The sequence below is a fragment of the Homo sapiens genome, chromosome 12 (genome assembly GCF_000001405.40).
Source record: "Homo sapiens chromosome 12, GRCh38.p14 Primary Assembly".
Lineage (NCBI taxonomy): Eukaryota > Metazoa > Chordata > Mammalia > Primates > Hominidae > Homo > Homo sapiens.
This window is the reverse complement of record NC_000012.12, coordinates 113,160,481-113,178,752: the sequence shown is the minus strand read 5'-3', so window position 1 is coordinate 113,178,752 and position 18,272 is coordinate 113,160,481. Positions and strand designations below refer to the sequence as shown.

The following is an 18,272-nucleotide window of genomic DNA, read 5'->3' as shown; positions in this document are numbered from 1 at the left end:
TGACCAACATAGCAGAACCCTGTCTCTACTAAAAATACAAAAATTAGCTGGGCATGGTGTCGCATACCTGTAATCCCAGCTACAATGGAGGCTGAGAAAAGAGAATCACTTGAACCCAGGAGGTGGAGGTTGCAGTGAGCCGAGATGGCATTACTGCACTCCAACATGGGCGACAGCGCGAGACTCCAATCTCAAAAAAAAAAAAAAGAAAAAACAAAACAAAAACCCAAGAAGGCTGGTCCAGTGGTAGCAGGTTATCAGAACTTACCAACATTAGTATCATTAAAGTTGGTATACAACCCCCCTCACTGCTAAATTTGACTGGCTTAAGAAAAAAACCAACAAGGGAAATCATGTGATAAAACATTAAAATAAATTGCCCACAGAGGCACTGCCACTCAGAAGTTCTGATGCTCCTGAAATAGAGTCATCAGCTCACAGGACAGACAGGTGTATCTATTTTAAAATGCATAATCGTGGGCTTGTTTTTGTTTTTGTTTTTTGTTTGTTTATTTTGAGACAGGGTCTCGCTCTGTCACCCTGGCTGGAGTACAGTGGCGCAATCACAGCTAACAGCAGCCTCAACCTCCTGGGCTCAAGTGATCCTCCCACGTCAGCCTCCCCAGTAGCTGGCACTACAGGTGTGCACCACCATGCCCAGCCAATTTTTTGTATTTTTTGTAGAGATGAGGTCTCGCCATGTTACTCAGGCTGGTCTCAAACTCCTGGGCTCAAGTGATCTGCTACTTTGGCCTCCCAAAGTGTTGGGATTACAGGCGTAAGCCACCACGCCTGGCTGTGGGCTGTTAGAAAGCAGAAAGCACAGGAATCGAGGGATGTTTGTAATAGCTCAGATTCATAAGATGTAGTATCTCCTGCTGTTCATCTACCACCCTTCCTAGGTAGTAGGTGCCACGTCTGTTTTACAGATGGGCAAAGTGAGGAAGTGACAGGTTAGAGTTTGGCAATGATTCCATAGTAGAGCTGGGATCAGAATCCAGTCTCCTGCCTCATTCCATGCCTTATCTCACAGTTTATCCCTTAAAGGGCAGCCCCTTTAAGGGAGAAAGTTTAAGGATGCCGCTATTAACACTCTTGATTCTCGGAGAGTTTGCTTTTCAGTGCCTTTGTCTCCATTGTCATTTATTCTTTCTGAAGTTTGTGATTGTCAGAAAGGCCTCCCTGGGCTAGTCCTGGCCCAGGACTACCCTGGCTCCTACAGGTATCCCAAGGGTGCTGCAGAGGAGGGCTAAAATTAGGGATTTGTGCCCAAAGGGTTTAAGGACGGGAGCTGATAGAGATCCATGGAACCTGGGTTCTAGTTGGGGCTGGTAGTTCTGGGGTTAGTTGCTGGGGGCACTGTGGGTGGAAGGCAGCTTTGTTGCTATCTGGAACAACAGAAGGAGTGAATTGAGGTCTGTAGTTGAGCCCATCTCTTCAGAGGAACTCTGTTGTTACCATTCTTTTGCATATTTCAGCTTGTATCTCTTGTCAGGGCAATGCCTTTGCCTCATACCTCAGCACTGGCCTTTCCTCAGTTCCAAGCCTTGGGTCTGTGTTCCTGGGGATGGGGTGTGCAGCCTTGCCTGGACATTTGGTTATGGGAAGGGAAACCAAAGAGACCTGTTCTATCAAGCTAACCCCTTCTCTCCTCTCTAGGATGGAAGACCAGTTTGCAGCCCTGCACGAAAATCCCGACATGTGAGTTTGTGGATTGGGGATGACTCCCTGAGATCCCTTCCTAGTGGTGGGGGTGTAAGAGAACTGTGGTGGTGGCCCTGGCCCTGGGGTCACCTGGCCTGTGCACCCTCTTCCAGAATTATTGCCACGCCCGGACGGTTGGTGCATGTGGCTGTGGAAATGAGCCTGAAGCTGCAGAGTGTGGAATACGTGGTGTTCGATGAAGCTGACCGGTAAGGCTGCAGGTCCAGCCCTGAGCACTTGTGTCTGAACTGGGAAAGCAGAGGCAGAGAGGTCAACCAGAGGAAGGCTCTGCCAGGAGAGCCCTGTGTGGCTGAGATCGAAGCAGTGTCTTCCCAGATGTGGGCTGCAGACCTCCTCATAAGCGGTGCTGGAGCTCATCTCTGGGGCTCTCTGACCAATATTTATAATTTTGCATTTCAGGAGTATTGAAATGAATAATAGGACATCTAACATGGGATTTATTTATTTATTTATTTATTTATGAGATAGAGTCTTGCTCTGTCACCCAGGCTGGAGTGCAATGGTATGATCTTGGCTCATTTCAACCTCCGCCTTCCGGGTTCTAGTGATTCTCCTGCCTTAGCCTCCTGTGTAGCTGGGGTTACAAGTACGCGCTACCACGCCTGGCTAATTTTGTATTTTTAGTAGAGATGGGATTTCACCATATTGGCCAGGCTGGTCTTAAACTCCTGACCTCAGGTGATCCACCCGCCTCGGCCTCCCAAAGTGCTGGGATTACAGGCGGGAGCCACAGCACCCGGCCCCTAACATGGGATTTCAAAGAGATTTTTTTAAAAGCACAAAGTTGAGAGCATGGACTCAGGAGCCAGACAGGAGTGGGATCAAGTCCTAGCTCTGCGACTTCAGCTCTGTGAATTTGGGCAATCACTGGACATCTCTGGGCCTTGGCTGCTTCAACTGCAAAATGGGGATAAAGTAGCACGTACCTCACAGGGGTGTTGTGAGGACCAGAAGACTTGATACTTGTAAAGTACTTGGAACCCTCCCTGGCAGAGTTGGGGAGGGGGTTGTGGGGGAAGTGGGGAGGGGGATGTGGGGGAAGTGGGGAGGGACTGCTATCATTGATTGATTGATGGTGACAGGGTCTTGCTCTGTCACCCAGTTTGGAGTACAGTGGTGTGATGATGGCTCACTGCAGCCTCGACCTCCCAGGCTCAAGGGATCCTCCCATGTCAGCCTCCTGAGTAGCTGGGAATATAGGCATGCGCCACCATGCCCAGCTAATTTTTTTTTTTTTTTGAGACGGAGTCTCACTCTGTTGCCCAGGCTGGAGTTCAGTGGCATGATGTCGGCTCACTGCAAGCTCCGCCTCCTGGGTTCACGCCATTCTCTTGCCTCAGCCTCTCGAGTAGCTGGGACTACAGGCGCCCGCCACCACGCCCGGCTAATTTTTTTGTATTTTTAATAGAGACGGGGTTTCACTGTGTTAGCCAGGATGGTCTCGATCTCCTGACCTCATGATCCGCCCGCCTTGGCCTCCCAAAGTGCTTGGGATTACAGGCCTGAGCCACTGCGCCCGGCCCCAGCTAATTTTTTATTTTTGTAGAGATGGGATCTCGCCTAGGGTGTTCTTGAACTCCTCCTGCCTTGGCCTCTCAAAGTGCTGGGATTACAGGTGTGAGCCTCTGCAGCCAGCCTGGGCTGCTGTCATTTATTTCAGCATGAGTTTGTAAGAACATGACCAAGACAGATTCCAGATTTCAAGGTTATTGTTGTTTAGGATGAAGTCACGTGATAAGTGTGAGTGGGCTGAGTTAGAGTGAGGCAAGCCCTGGGACACTGCAGAAGTTGTGGGGACAAGGATGGCTGCGGTTGGAACTCCAGGGAGTGAAGGCCCCCTCTGACCCAGTCCTGCCCTCTACCCTTCCAGGCTTTTTGAAATGGGTTTCGCAGAGCAGCTGCAGGAGATCATCGCCCGCCTCCCCGGGGGCCACCAGACGGTGCTGTTCTCCGCCACGCTGCCCAAACTGCTGGTGGAATTTGCCCGGGCTGGTGCGTGAGCTGGGGGTGGAGATGGGGGCTGGGGGTCAGGCTGGGGCCTGGGGGCCAGTCCCTCTGCGACTCCCCCACTTTCCCCCATGTCTCCTGCAGGCCTCACGGAGCCCGTGCTCATCCGGCTTGACGTGGATACCAAGCTCAACGAGCAGCTGAAGGTGAGGCTGCACCTGTCCCATCCCAGGAGGTTGTGTCCAGGTGGGCCCTGCAGGCCCTGGGCCAGGACCCCGTAAGCCAACACGTGATGCCCTCTCCCCACAGACCTCCTTCTTCCTCGTGCGGGAGGACACCAAGGCTGCCGTGCTGCTCCACCTGCTGCACAACGTGGTGCGGCCCCAGGACCAGACCGTGGTGTTTGTGGCCACGAAGCACCACGCCGAGTACCTCACTGAGGTGAGCAGGGTCCTGAGTGGGAGGAGCACCTCCTTCAGCTGGAGTTTGGAGCTGCAGTTCCCTGTGCAGTCACTAGAGGGCAGCACGAGAGCGGACCAGGAGCCTGGGCCTGGGCTCAAGATGGTCATTTTTATTTTTATTTTTTATTTTTTTGAGACGGAGCCTCGCTCTGCCATCCAGGCTAGAGTGCAGTGGCACAATCGTGGCTCACTGCAGCCTTGACCTTCCAGGCTCAAACAATTCTCCCGCCTCAGCCTCCCGAGTACTTGGGACTTCTGGCGCATGTCACCATGCCCAACTAACTTGTTACTTATTTTTATATTTTGTAAAGACAGGTTCTCACTCGGTTGCCCAAGCTGGTCTTGAACTCCTGGGCTCAGGTGATCCTCCCACCTTGGCCTCCCATAGTACTGGGATTATAGTACTGGGATTATGAAAACATTTCTTTTTTTTTTTTTTTGGAAATGGTATCTCACTCTGTCGCCCAGGCTGGAGTGCAGTGGCACGATCTCAGCTCACTGCAACCTCCACCTCCCAGGTTCAAGTGATTCTCCTGCCTCATCCTCCTGAGTAGCTGAGACTTCAGGCGCCACCATGCCTGTCTAATTTTTGTATTTCTCATGGAGACGGGGTTTTGCCGTGTTGGCCAGGTGGGTCTTGAACTCCTGACCTCAAATGATCTGCCCGTCTCAGCCTCCTAAAGTGCTGGGATTACAGGTGTAAGCCACAGCGCCTGGCCTAAACTTTTTATTGTGAGAAAATTTCAAACCAATTCTAAGATCAGAAAATAATATGATGAACCCCGGGTACTCGTTATCTAGGTACAACTGTTACCAGCTGATAGCTGGTCTTGACCTTCATCCGTTAGTTCCCCTTACATCCGGGTTATTTTGAAGCCTGTCCCTGCCATCCTGTTATTTTCCTGTAGATTTTTAGTATGTGGTTTGTTTGACTTCTTAAGATTGAGGCATGACCTGCATGTAGCAAGCTGTGTGAAGCGCTGTTAGCATGTGTGAGTGGCTCAAAGATTTTTTTCATATGTGTTATGCCTGTGTGACCCCCGCCTGGGTCAAAGCCTGGGGAGTCGCTGTGCCCCAGAAGGCAGTGGGGCCCCTTTCCGTTGGTGCCTGCCTCCCTGTCAGCTACACCTGGGTCTGTTATCTGAGGACATGGTTCACTGGGTTTCACTTACTCCACACACAGTTAACAACACTCCCTCTGTGCAGCTGCTGGGGTCACCAGTGAATAAGACCAAAATAGTAATTTTTAAACAGTTGTTTTTTTAGAGAGAGTTTTGCTCCTTTGGCCAGGCTGGAGTGCAATGGCATGATCATGGCTTACTGCAACCTCTGCCTCCTGGGCTCAAGTGATCCACCCACCTCAGCCTCCGAAGTACCTGGGACTGTAGGCACAAGTCATGCCTGACCATGCCAGCTCATTTTTTATTTATTTTAATTTTTTTTGTAGAGATGGTGTCTTGCTGTGTTACCCAGGCTAGTCTCGAGTTTCTGGTCTCAAGTGATTTTCCAGCCTTGGTTTCCCGAAATGCTGGATTACAGGCGTGAGCCACCATGCCCAGTTTAAATAGTAATCTGTAAAGAACAGCTAGCACTCTCATGAGTGTTCCATGTTGAGACTCTGTTCTCAGCACTGTATATACTGACTCATGTGATCCTCATAATAAGGCACAAAGAAGGGGCAGTTATTCGTACAGATGAGGAAAATGAGGCATAGAAAAGTTTGGTAACTTGCCCAAGGTCACACAGCTTGTTTGTAGCAGAATCCGGATAAGGCTTGTGCACTGAGGTGGCATTTGCAGCTTCCCTGAGAGGGCCCTCTGCACACATCATCTCTGATCCTCAGACAACCCTGCAGAGAGGTGGGAGGTGTTGTAAGCTCCATTCCTCCCCAAACTGGCATCACCCAGCAAGCTGGGATTCAGACCAAGGGTGCCAGACTCCAGAACCCGTGGTCTTGTCTCTGCACCTCAGTGCCCGTCCCCCGCCATGGTCTGGCTTCCTTTCCTTTCTCCTCCAAGTCTCCTTCTCACTTTGCTACCATCTTTGCTCTGAGCAGCTGCTGACGACCCAGCGGGTGAGCTGCGCCCACATCTACAGTGCCCTAGACCCGACAGCCCGCAAGATCAATCTCGCCAAATTCACGCTTGGCAAGTGCTCCACTCTCATTGTGACTGACCTGGCCGCCCGAGGCCTGGACATCCCGCTGCTGGACAATGTCATCAACTACAGCTTCCCCGCCAAGGGCAAACTCTTCCTGCACCGCGTGGGTAAGCAGCCCGTGGCTGGCCCTGGGGCAGGCAGGGGTGCCGGATCCTGGCAGAAGCCGAGGGTACAAGGCTTAACTCTTGACACTGCACATGGGGTGGCTGTGGGCCTTGTTTTAGAGACAGAGCCTCGCTATATTGCTTAAGCTGGTCTCAAACTCGCGATCGTGCCACTGCGATCCAGCCTGGGTGACGGAGCAAGATCTTGTCTCAAAAAAACCAAAAAAAAAAAACAACCCAATTATTCAGCTTATGGTTTTTTTGACTTTACAATAGCACCCATACAGCTGTTCTATTTTTTTCTTTCAGTACAGTATTCAATAAGTTACATGAGATACTCAACACTTTATTTTAAAATCGGCTATGTGTGGGATGATTTTGCCCAAGGGTAGGCTAATGGAAGTATTTGGAGCATGCTCAAGGCAGGCTGGCTGAGCTGCGATGTTTAGTGGGTTAGGTGCCGTGCGTGTGTTTTTGACGGCTATTGGGTTTATTGAGACGCAGCCCTTCGTAAGTCACGGAACAGCTGTGGTCTCATTTCAGAGATCACTGTCCCCCATTGCTCTCTGATGACATGGCCGTCATTTTGGTGTGTGTCCATTCTTCTGATGTTTCTATTTTAAGTTGTGGTAAAGTAGACATAGCATGCAATTCAGCATTTTGCCATTTCCCAGTGTGCAGTGGAGTGGCATTGAGTCTGTTCCCATTGTGCAACTGTCACCACCATCTGTCCCCAAAACTTTTTTTTTTTTTTTTGAGAGTCTTGCTTTGTACCCCAGGCTGGAGTGCAGGGGTGTGATCTCGGCTCACTGCAACCTTCACCTCCCAGGTTCTAGCTATTCTCTTGCATCAGCCTCCCGAGTAGCTGGGATTACAGGTGCTCGCCACCAGGCCCAGCTAATTTTTTGTGTTTTTAGTAGAGACAGGGGTTTCACCATGTTGGCCAAGGTGGTCTTGAACTCCTAACCTCAAGTGATGCATCTGCCTCAGCCTCCCAAAGTGCTGTGATTACAGGCGTGAGCCACCATGCTTGGCCCCAGAACTTTTCCATCTTGCAAAATTGAAGCTCTATCCGTCAGACAAAATCTCCTTATTCCCCTCCCGCAGCCCCTGGTAACTGTTATTCTACTTTCTTTGCCTTCTTTTAATTCATAAGTGTCATGTGGTGGGTGCACTTCCCCCTTGTTGCTGTCTGCTGTCCCCTAGTTTCTGTTGCTGTGTGGAGAGCTGGTTCTGCATGTCCCTAGGGAGGTCCCCAGGACGCCCCCAAAGGGAATTTCTTGTGCCTCACAAGACCAACAGTGCCGGTCAGACAACCTCAAATGAAATCTCCAAATGTCATAACACCTTGTTTTCCCAAGATACAGAGACAAACCAAAATATAATGCTATGTAGTGATTTAGGTACTTCATGCAAAATTGCAATCATATTGGGTGTTCTTTTTTATAACTGGCTTTTTGTTTTTTTCTTTTTACATCACCATACATCACGAATGTTTTTCGTTTACTATGAAATGTCATTCTGTGATGGGTTGGCACATCTTTTCTGTAAGGGGCTAGACATGAAACGTTAGGCTTTGTGGACCATACTGTCTCTGTCATAACTGTTCATCTCTGCTGCTGTCGTGTGACTGCTGCCTATTCATTTATATAGATAATATATAAACAAATGAGTGTGGCTGTGTTCCAATAAATCTTTATTTACACAGACAAGCAGGGGGCCGGGATCTCACTCTGTTGCTTGGGCTCTAGTGCTGTGGCATGATCATAGCTCACTGTAAGCTTGAACTCCCAGATTCAAGCAATCCTCCCAGCTCAGCCTCCCAAGTACTTAGGGCTACAGGCACACACCATCACATCTGGCTAATTTTCGTTTTTTGTAGACATGGGGTCTTGCTATTTTGCCCAGGCTGTTCTCGAACTCCTGGCCTCAAGTGATTCTCCCACCTCAGCCCCTCAAAGTGCTGTGATTACAGGCGTGAGCCACCAGCCTGGCCCTGTAGGCTGCAGTTTGCCCACTCTTTTCCTGAGCTGTTTAATTCCCACTGTGTGGCCATCAGCTAATTCACTTATCTAGTCCTCTACCCTTGAGACTTTAGTTTCCAACTTGGGGCTGTCCTAGTCAGGGCCACACTAAACCTCCTTGTGTGTGAATCTTTACATCTTTGCGGGGAATTCTCAAAAGTGGGGACACTGAAGAGTTTTGATCATGCTCATGAGCAGGGCCTTGCTGTATTTTTGCTAGTCTCCCAGAGCACTGTGTCAGCTTGGGCACACTCTCACAGATCAACCTAGGGACCGGGATTAAACTTCCCTGTGCGTAGGTGGGGACAGCAGCCGTGTGAGGTTCGAGGCTTGGCCAGGCTCACCTGCTCAGGGTCTGGCCTGTGGAACTCATGCTGGGTCCGGGTCCTTCTTTGCTTAATTAAGCTTGAACGTCTCCTTGCTGCAGGCCGTGTGGCTCGGGCTGGCCGAAGTGGCACAGCCTACTCCTTGGTGGCCCCTGATGAAATCCCCTACCTGCTGGATCTGCACCTGTTCCTGGGCCGCTCCCTCACCCTCGCCCGACCCCTCAAGGAGCCCTCAGGTGAGTGGAGGCTGGGTGGGGATAGGGGTCCCCGTGGAGTTCATGGGCCCTGTTTTGGCTGTGGGAGGAGGTAGGGCTGGGTTTGACCCCAGCAGAAGATGATTCCTTTTATTTATTTTATTGTATTTTATTTGTTTTGTTTATTTTTTGAGACAGAGCCTCGCTCTGTTGCCCAGGCTGGGGTGCAGTGGTGTGATCTTGGCTCACAGCAACCTCTGCCTCCCAGGTTCAAGCCATTCTCTTGCCTCAGCCTCCCGAGTAGCTGGGACTATAGATGCCCGCCACCACGCCTGGCAAATTTTTTATTGTATTTTTAGTAGAGACAAGGTTTCACCATGTTGGCCAGGCTGATCTCGAACTCCTGACCTCAAGTGATTCGCCCACCTCCCAAAGTGCTGGGATTACAGGTGTGAGTCACTGCGCCCGGCTGATTCCTTCTATTTTTTAACGAGACGGGGTCTTACTCTTGCTCAGGCTGGAGTGCAGTGGTGCGATCATGGCTCGCTGCAACTTCCAACTCCTGGGCTCAAGCAAGCCACTATGCCTGGCTAATCCCTCTATTTTAAACTCAGGATTTCCCACAACAATCCAGATTTCTGGTATCTACTGGGAAACAGTTGGATCTGGGTGCTAAGCTGTGGCACCCCCATTAGACAGGCTTCCTGGTCCCCTGCAGCCCCTGCCTGCCTCCCCTTCCTGTCAGTGTGGCCTGCCCAGCCCCTGCAGGCATCTAGTGTGTGACCCTATACTTGATGAGTTTTCAGGGGAGCGCAGCGGAGGGAAAGAGAGGCTGAGGCTCATTCAGACCAAGCCCACAGGACATTTTTAATTTATTTATTGAGACAGAGTTTCGCTCTTGTTGCCCAGGCTGGAGTGCAGTGGTGCAATCTTGGCTCACCACAACCTCCGCATCCTGGGTTCAAGCGATTCTCCTGCCTCAGCCTCCCGAGTAGCTGGGACTGCAGGCACACACAACCACGCCCAGCTAATTTTGTATTTTTAGTAGAGACAGGGTTTCACCATGTTGGCCACGCTGGTCTTGAACTTCTGATCTCAGGTGATCTGCCCGCCTCGGCCTCCCAAAGTGCTGGAATTACAGGCGTGAGCCACTGTGCCCAGCCGCCCACAGGACATTTCTGTATACATCCTAGAATGGGAATGCATGGGACAGACAATAGCAATCACCATGGCCTCCATCTGTGGGCCTCCAACTATGGGCCTCCACCTGCAGTCCTGCTGGTTCCCGGGCCCTGGACACATCTTGTCTCATTTGTCCATCTGTGCTAGAGGGAGGGCTGTCATCACCTCTGCTTCACAGATGAGAGAACGGCTCTGACAGGCCTACCCGCATGCACACAGCAGGGAGGTGGGGAGCTGAGATTCAGGCCCCCCCAGAGGCCCAAGACTCAAGCTCAGAGAGCTGAGGCGGCTTCCTCCGGACAGCCTAGCCAGTGGTCAGCAGAGAGCGCAGCCCTCAGAGCTCCGGGCCCCCTCTGCCTCGGCTGTTCACTCTTGGCTGCCAGTGGTGGTCTCTGTCCAGGCCACGGCCCCCTCAGGTGACCATGTGGCCCTGCAGTGTCCCAGCCCATGCCTGGAGGCGGCTGGAAAGCAGACACCATAGCAGAAAGTCTGGGGTCAGATGCAAGGGCACAGGAAAGGGCTGCGGGGCCTGGCCGGGGTGGGGGGCGGCCTGTGCAGTCACTGGAGGTGGAGGCCTCAGTCGGGCGCCACGCAGGGGTGAATTGGAAGGGGCGCCTAAAGGGCATTTCAAAGCATTTTCCTGGGGGCAAAGCTGAGAGTGCAAGGGCCAAGGGAGGGAGGTGCAAGCACAGCCCCACCTGGCAGCCCCAGGGGCCCAGTGACAGGCAGGAGCAGGAGGAAATGGACCCTGCGCCCAGGGCCAGAGGCAGCACGCAGCCCCGTACAGGCTCTACAGATCTGCAGCCTCCTGGGTTGAGAGCTGTGCATGGGCGTGGGAGGGGCAGAGGGAGGGAAGGAGCCTCCCCCAATGTCCAGGCAGAAACCACCCCCGGTGCAGTTAGCTTTTAGGGAGAGACATCCTGCATTTGCTCCAGAGCTAGCCAGGGGTCAGCAGGGCCCAGCACCTGCTTAATCTGGAGAGATGGGAAGAGGGCAGGCTCCTGACCCAGTGCAGGGTTCGGTTTCCGACCCTGACCCTTACCACGTGCCCCTTGGCAAATCTCTAAACCTCCAGGAGCCTCAGTTTCCTCCTCTCTAAAAGGGACTCATCAGGGCCTTTCTTGCAAGATTGGCCAAATGTTGGTAATTAACGCTGGGTGATGGGCCCATGAGGTCCATCATGCTCTTCCCTCAGCTTTTTGTTTTTCTTTTGTTGTTTTGCTTTTTTATTTTATTTCATTTTATTTTATTTTTTGAGAGGGGCTCACTCTGTCACCCAGGCTAGAGTATAGTGGCACGATCACAGCTCACTGCGCCCTTGACCTCCTAGGCTCAAGCAATCCTTCCACCTCAGCCTCTTGAGGAGCTGGGAATACAGGCAGGTGCCACCATGCCTGGATAATTTTTTAATTTTTTGTAGAGATGGGGTATCACTATGTTGCCCAGGCTGGTATTGAACTCCTGCACTCAAGCGATCCTCCTGCCTTGGCTTCCAAAGTGCTGGGGTTACAGGTGTGAGCCACCATGCTTGGCTTACTGTTGTATATATTTTGTAGTAAAAAGTTAGAACATGACGACAAAAGAAAACAGGTACTTTCCTCATAGGTTTGGTGTGAGGTAAAGGAGATGATGATGATGGACTCAGCACAGTGCTTACACATAGGAAGCCTCTGTCCCCGGCATCCTCTGCTCTTAACTGTTGCTGTTACTTATTACCATAAGTATTGCTGTTGTTAGTATGGACTCTGCCTAGATTGAATCCTGTCTCTGCAACTGACTCATTTGACAGTCCTGGTAGTAATTGAACCTCGCTGAGCCTCAGTTTTCTTATCTATAGAACAGGGTTGCTGTGGAAATTGAATTTCTAATGCTGGAGTCAGCAAAGTTGCTGTTGTTTGTTTTTTGTTTTTGTTTTTTTGTTTTTAAGAGAGACAAAGTCTTGTTCTGTCACCCAGGCTGGAGTGCAGTGGCACCATCACGGCTCACTGCAGCCGTGAGCTCCCAGGCTCAAGCGATCCTCCTGTCTCACCCCCTGAGTAGTTGAGAGACTACAGGGGCACACCACCATGCCCGGCTAATTTTAAAATTTATTGTAGACATGGAGTGTCACTACATTGCTCAGGCTGGTCTCCAATTCCTGGCCTCAAGTGATCCTCCTGCCTCAGCCTCCCGGAACTCTGAGATTATAGGCATGAGCCACCGCACCCGGCCAACAAAGTTTTTTTTTTTTAGAGCCGGATAGTACATATTCTAGGCTCTGTGGGCTGTGTGATCCAGGGTGGCTCTTCAACCCTGGCCTTGTAGTGCAAAAACAGCTGGAGACCATGCGTAAGCAAGTAGTGAGCTGTGCTCCCGTAGAGCTATTTCCAGAAGCAGCAGGCAGCTGGCCGGCCGGCCGCAGTTTGTTGACCCCTGTCAGTGTATTCAAGTGTCTGGCTCTCTAGCTCCTCCCTGAGTGCTGGTGTTCTTTGCAGTGATTATTTTGTAGCCATTTACCTGTGATTCAGGGGCCAGGGTGAGGCCCAAGAGTGGTGGTCGGGCAGTGGACAGGCGGGCCAGGCTGAAAGACCTCTGACAAGGTGCTGTGTGGGGTGCAGGTGTGGCCGGTGTGGATGGCATGCTGGGTCGGGTGCCACAGAGTGTGGTGGACGAGGAGGACAGTGGTCTGCAGAGCACCCTGGAGGCATCGCTGGAGCTACGGGGCCTGGCCCGCGTTGCTGATAACGCCCAGCAGCAGTATGTGCGCTCACGCCCGGCGCCCTCGCCTGAGTCCATCAAGAGGGCCAAGGAGATGGACCTTGTGGGGCTGGGCCTGCACCCCCTCTTCAGTGAGTCCTTCTACAAGGCAGGGGGTGGCAGGTGGGCCTTGCTGACCCCACCCACAGCCTCACACCTTGCTGCTTTCCTACCAGGCTCGCGTTTTGAGGAGGAGGAGCTGCAGCGGCTGAGGCTGGTGGACAGCATAAAGAACTACCGCTCCCGGGCGGTGAGTGGGGCCGGGTGGAGACCACGCTCTGAGTCCTGGCTCTGTGGAGCCCAGAGACAGATGGCCTGTGGCCTGGGGTCACACAGTGACAACGGTGGTGCCAGGACTCAGATTGCACTCCTGACCCCCAGCAGGACCCCAGCAGGGATTTTCATCTGAGCTTCTTATAGCTTCTTAACCTGCAGCCTTGGCTCTGACAACCTCTCTTGAGATGCACCTTGTTCTGGAACCATCCCTGCTGGCTCACAGCAGGTCCTATGGGGCAGCCATTCCCTAGCACTTACAGATGGCTCACAAGGGGAAGTGACATGCTTCTGGTCTGTTAGAGGCCTGAAGAGCTGGCTTTCCTGAGCTTCTTTCCCTCCTTCCCAACTGTTGACTCCCATTAGGCACCCCATCTTGTGCATATGGAAGGGGATGCACAAAAGGAAAGACCTACTGAGGAGTGAGTAAGCCTGCCAGCCAGCTAGGATCAGGAGAGGAGCTGGAGAGAGTGTCATGTTTAAGAGCACCGGTTTTGAAGTCAAATGGACTTGGGTTGACAAGCTATGCCTTTTCCTAGCATGTGACCATGGGCTGGTTACTCACCCTCTCTGGGTTTTTGTTTGTTTGTTTTTGAAACAGGGTCTTGCTTTGTCACCCAGGCTGGAGTGCAGTGGTGCAATCATGGCTCACTGCAGCCTTGACCTCCTGGGCTCAAACGATCCTCCTATCTCAGCCTCCTGAGTAGCTGGGACTACAGGTGCATGCCACCACACCCAGCTATTTTTTTTTATTTTTTGTAGAGATGAGGTCATGTTGCCTAGGCTGCTCTCAGACCCCTGGGCTCAGGTGATCCTCTTGCCTCAGCCTCCCAAAGTGCTGAGATTACAGGCGTGAGCCACGGTGCCTGGCCTGGGTCTCTCTGTGTTTTTGTTTGGTTTTGTTTTTGAGATGGAGTCTCGCTCTGTTACCCAGGCTGGGGTGCAGTGGTGCAATCTCGGCTCACTGCAACCTCTGCCTTCTGGGTTCAAGTGATTCTCCTGCCTCAGCCTCCTAAGTAGCTGGGACTACAGGTGCCCACCACCACACCTAGCTAATTTTTGTATTTTTAGCAGAGATGGGGTTTCGCCGTGTTGGCCAGGCTAGTCTCGAACTCCTGACCTCAAGTGATCCACCCGCCTCAGCCTCCTCAAGTGCTGGGATTACAGGCATGAGCCACTGCGCCTGGTCTGGGTCTGTCTATCTAATTGTGAAGTGCAGATAATGGACACTGGGGAAGACTTGGGGAAGAACGCCCATAGGAAGCCCACCAAGTGGTAAGGGTGGGGTTAGGAGTAGGAGGCCAGTGGGCAAAGGACTGGGTGTCCCCTCCACAGACTATCTTTGAGATCAACGCCTCCAGCCGAGACCTGTGCAGCCAGGTGATGCGCGCCAAGCGGCAGAAGGACCGCAAGGCCATCGCCCGCTTCCAGCAGGGACAGCAGGGGCGGCAGGAGCAGCAGGAGGGCCCAGTGGGCCCAGCCCCGAGCCGCCCAGCACTGCAGGAGAAGCAGCCTGAGAAGGAGGAGGAGGAGGAGGCGGGAGAGAGTGTGGAGGTACAGGTTCCACCCTGGGGACCCTGGACCTGGGGTATGGGGAAGGGGTGGCTAAGTCCCAGCAGCCCATGAGGCTGTCCTAGGATCTTTGAGCAGTGGATGGAGGTGGATGCAGTCAGCTTCCCATCTGCAGAGTCGGGGCATGGTTCTTGTCCACCATCCCTCGTTTAAAACTCTGGGGCCAGATCTTTAGCCTGAGGAGCTGTGCACGACATGACACCCTCAGTGGGGTCCGGGGCATCACCAGCCACCAAACACATCAGGGCTTCTGCAGTGAGACGTGTAGGTCTCCACTCAGAGGGAGGACCATGAAGTGTCCCATTCACCTGGTGGGTGGGTCCTGGGCCTGTGCGTCCCCCAGGATGTCCCTCTCTCATGTTTTGTTTGGACAGAGGGTTCAGTAGCCAAGAAGACCAGTTGGAGACCCCTGGCCTAGTCCATGTTGTTCAGAGCAGGCCAGGCGCAGAGAGGGGCAGGGCCGGCTGTCACATAGCCTGGGGTGCGGAGCTGGAATGGGGAGTTGGGTCTCCCTCGGCCGGCACTCTCCTCCTCACCCAGCTGTCCTGCCTCTGCTGGTCCCTGAGGCAGGGGTTGCACTGTGTGTGCAGATGAGGAAACTGAGGGTCCCACAGGAGACACTGTCACCCAGCTAAGAAATGGCAAAATGAAGCTTTGAAAGTCCCCGAGAAGCCACTGGCCCCTCACTGTGGCCAGGCTGGTGGGTAGGGAGGCAGGGGGAAGTCCCCAGGGGGCAGCAGGCATGACACTGGGCCTTGGTCTGTGCTCTGCCAGGACATTTTCTCAGAGGTCGTGGGCCGGAAGCGGCAGCGGTCAGGACCCAACAGGGGAGCCAAGAGGCGGAGGGAGGAGGCCCGGCAGCGGGACCAGGAATTCTACATCCCCTACCGGCCCAAGGACTTTGACAGCGAGCGGGGGTGAGTGGCTGGCTGGGTCCTGGGTGGGGCAGTTGGGTCCGCTGGGTCCCATCAATCCAATTATGTCTCCCACTCTCCCTCTGCAGCCTGAGCATCAGCGGGGAAGGGGGAGCCTTTGAGCAGCAGGCAGCTGGCGCTGTCCTGGACTTGATGGGGGATGAAGCCCAGAACCTGACGAGGGGCCGGCAGCAGCTCAAGTGGTGAGTGATCGAGTGAGCCGCCCCTCCATGCTCGGGGTGAGTGACCGAGTGAGCTGCTCCTCCGTGCCTGGGGTGAGTGATCGAGTGAGCCGCCCCTCCCTCCATGCCCGGGGTGAGTGAGTGAGTGAGCCGCCCCTCCATGCCCGGGGTGAGTGATCGAGTGAGCTGCCCCTCCAGGCCCAGGGTGAGTGAGAGAGTGAGCTGCCCCTCCATGCCTGGGGTGAGTGAGCGAGTGAGCCTCCCCTACCTCCATTCCCTGAAGTGAGTGAGCGAGTGAGCCGCCCCTCCATTCCCTGGGGTGAGTGAGCGAGTGAGCCACCCCTCCAGGCCCAGGGTGAGTGATCGAGTGAGCTGCCCTCCATGCCAGCAGGCAGGGTGAGCTCCCTGAAGTCCTCACTCCCATCTGATCCTGCACAGCCCAGATTATGGCCTGGCTGTCCCCCATGTGACCACTCACAGCAGGTGTGATGGCCCCTGGCTGTGCTGTCCCCTTGATTTGATCACACACCACAGAGATCTTGACCCCGTCTATTCTTTTTGCTGGCAAGTCTTTCTAGACAGGGCTCAGGACCCATTCGTTCAGGACTCTAGCGTCTGGAGAGTGTATGTGACTCAACCCAGGGTCACAGCTGGGTAGGGGGAGGGGATTGGAAACCCTCCAGGAGGCCCTTGTCCCTGAGCCAGGCCCCAGTGCTGGCGGCAGTCCTCTGACCTCCGCACTCCCTTTTGAGACCTGGACTGCAGGGAGAGGTGAGGAGGGATAGGGAAGAAGCCTTTATTGAGCGCCAACTGCATGCCAGACATGGCTGCACTGCTTTCCTTTAATGCTCCAACAACCTGACAAGAGGGTCGGGTGAGGAGACAGGCCCCAAGCGGCAGCCGGCACTCCAAGGGTTTCCCTCCACGGCAGCCGTCCCAACTCCCTCTCCTGCAGGGACCGTAAGAAGAAGCGGTTTGTGGGACAGTCAGGACAGGAAGACAAGAAGAAGATTAAGACAGAGAGCGGCCGCTACATCAGCAGCTCCTACAAGCGAGACCTGTATCCTGAGGGGCGTGGCTGGGGAGGGGCGGGGCCGAGGAGCTTCAGCAGGAGCAGCTTCAATTAAGTGGAACCTGGGGGCGGGGGCGGGGGCGGGGAGGAGGGGGCGGGGCTGAGCGGCTTAAGCAGCCGCATCTCCAATAGATGGGACCTGGTGCTGGGGGCGGGGCCGAGCAGCTTCAGCAGCAGCATCTCGAACTAGTGGGACCTGTGCTGGGGGCGGGGCCCAGCAGCTTCAGCAGCAGCATCTCCAGTAAGTGGGGCCTGTGCTGGGGGCGGGCCCAGCAGCTTCAGCAGCGGCATCTCCAATAAGTGGGACCTGGTGCTGGGGGCGGGGCCGAGCAGCTTCAGCAACAGCATCTCCAATAAGTGGGACCTGTGTGCTGGGGGCGGGGCCGAGCAGCTTCAGCTGCGGCTGGGATAACGGAACTCTGTCTGCTGGGGCAGTGTGGGGAGGAGCCTTCTCCCATCCCAGGGGCTTCACGCAGCTTCCTTAACGAGGTTTCCCAGCTATCAGAAGTGGAAACAGAAACAGAAAATTGATGATCGTGACTCGGACGAAGAAGGGGCATCTGACCGGCGAGGCCCAGAGCGAAGAGGTGGGAAGCGAGACCGTGGCCAAGGTGAGAGCCAGGGTGGGGAGTGTGGGTGCACAGGTAGGCAGAGCAGTTGTGGTCAGATTAGGGTAACGCTGAGGCACAGGTGCAGGGGCTACTGCAGAGCCCCAGAGCTGGGTGTGTTGGGGTATGCTGCCAAAACCCTGGGTCCCTCCATGATCCCCCCCACCCAACCCCCACACCCACAGTTTCCCCCTTCCTACTGTCCCGGCCTCTGATGGTCACGAGCACCGCCTGACAGGCGCTGGGAAGTGCCATGCCCCTCAGGTGCCTTGTCCCCGACCCCCTTCCACTTCACAGATGAAGCTACAGGGATAACTTCTGGTAGATGCCCTGTTCACCTAATTAAGCCGATTGTGTAAAATCCTAGAGAACCCGGGAGGTGGAACCTTGTGCAAATGCAGGCCATTTTCACCTGCAAAAATGGCATTTGCATGTGGTTCGACCTGACAGTGAGCATGAATTGATTCCCTGTGGCATCCTTAGGAGTGACGTTCTTTTTAGCAATGCTGTGGGGAAGTTCATGTCACCAAAGACGCAGTCAGAAGCAGCTTTGGTTCTGGGAGGAGGCGATCACAGGGGATGTTGAGGAAGATACTTCCTTGAAATGTGGGTTGGCAAGTGGTACATTTGGTCATCTGAGGACTTGGACCTCTTTGATCTGGCCTGGGTCCCTCAGCCAGTAACAAGCTAAGGTGGATTTGAAGCCGGCTCTGTCTGCCAGAGCCTGTGCTTAAGGGCTGTTATCAGGGAGGGGCTCCCGCTTGCTGGGTGCAGGCAGGCTCTGTCCTGGAA

General features: G+C 53.8%; 1 protein-coding gene across 2 annotated transcripts in view, besides 1 other annotated feature; it reads left to right on the top strand.

The window, feature by feature from the left end:
• DDX54 (DEAD-box helicase 54) overlaps positions 1-18,272 on the top strand; it is a 28,306-nt gene that overhangs the window by 6,726 nt on the left and 3,308 nt on the right. For both annotated transcript variants that reach the window (NM_024072.4, NM_001111322.2), the window contains exons 6-19: positions 1,660-1,701; positions 1,818-1,913; positions 3,596-3,717; positions 3,817-3,878; positions 3,982-4,113; positions 6,190-6,400; positions 8,849-8,983; positions 12,721-12,951; positions 13,036-13,109; positions 14,468-14,686; positions 15,479-15,621; positions 15,708-15,821; positions 16,756-16,860; positions 17,371-17,483. In NM_024072.4, coding sequence (NP_076977.3) covers positions 1,660-1,701; positions 1,818-1,913; positions 3,596-3,717; positions 3,817-3,878; positions 3,982-4,113; positions 6,190-6,400; positions 8,849-8,983; positions 12,721-12,951; positions 13,036-13,109; positions 14,468-14,686; positions 15,479-15,621; positions 15,708-15,821; positions 16,756-16,860; positions 17,371-17,483 — 1,799 coding nt within the window. The remainder of the gene's footprint in view (positions 1-1,659; positions 1,702-1,817; positions 1,914-3,595; positions 3,718-3,816; positions 3,879-3,981; positions 4,114-6,189; positions 6,401-8,848; positions 8,984-12,720; positions 12,952-13,035; positions 13,110-14,467; positions 14,687-15,478; positions 15,622-15,707; positions 15,822-16,755; positions 16,861-17,370; positions 17,484-18,272) is intronic.
• Positions 4,242-4,321: an enhancer, noted in NCBI's record as "active region_7062". NCBI's record gives its function as "activates an Ori minimal core promoter by ATAC-STARR-seq in GM12878 lymphoblastoid cells {active_cell/tissue: GM12878}" and the evidence as "EXISTENCE:reporter gene assay evidence [ECO:0000049][PMID:35858748]".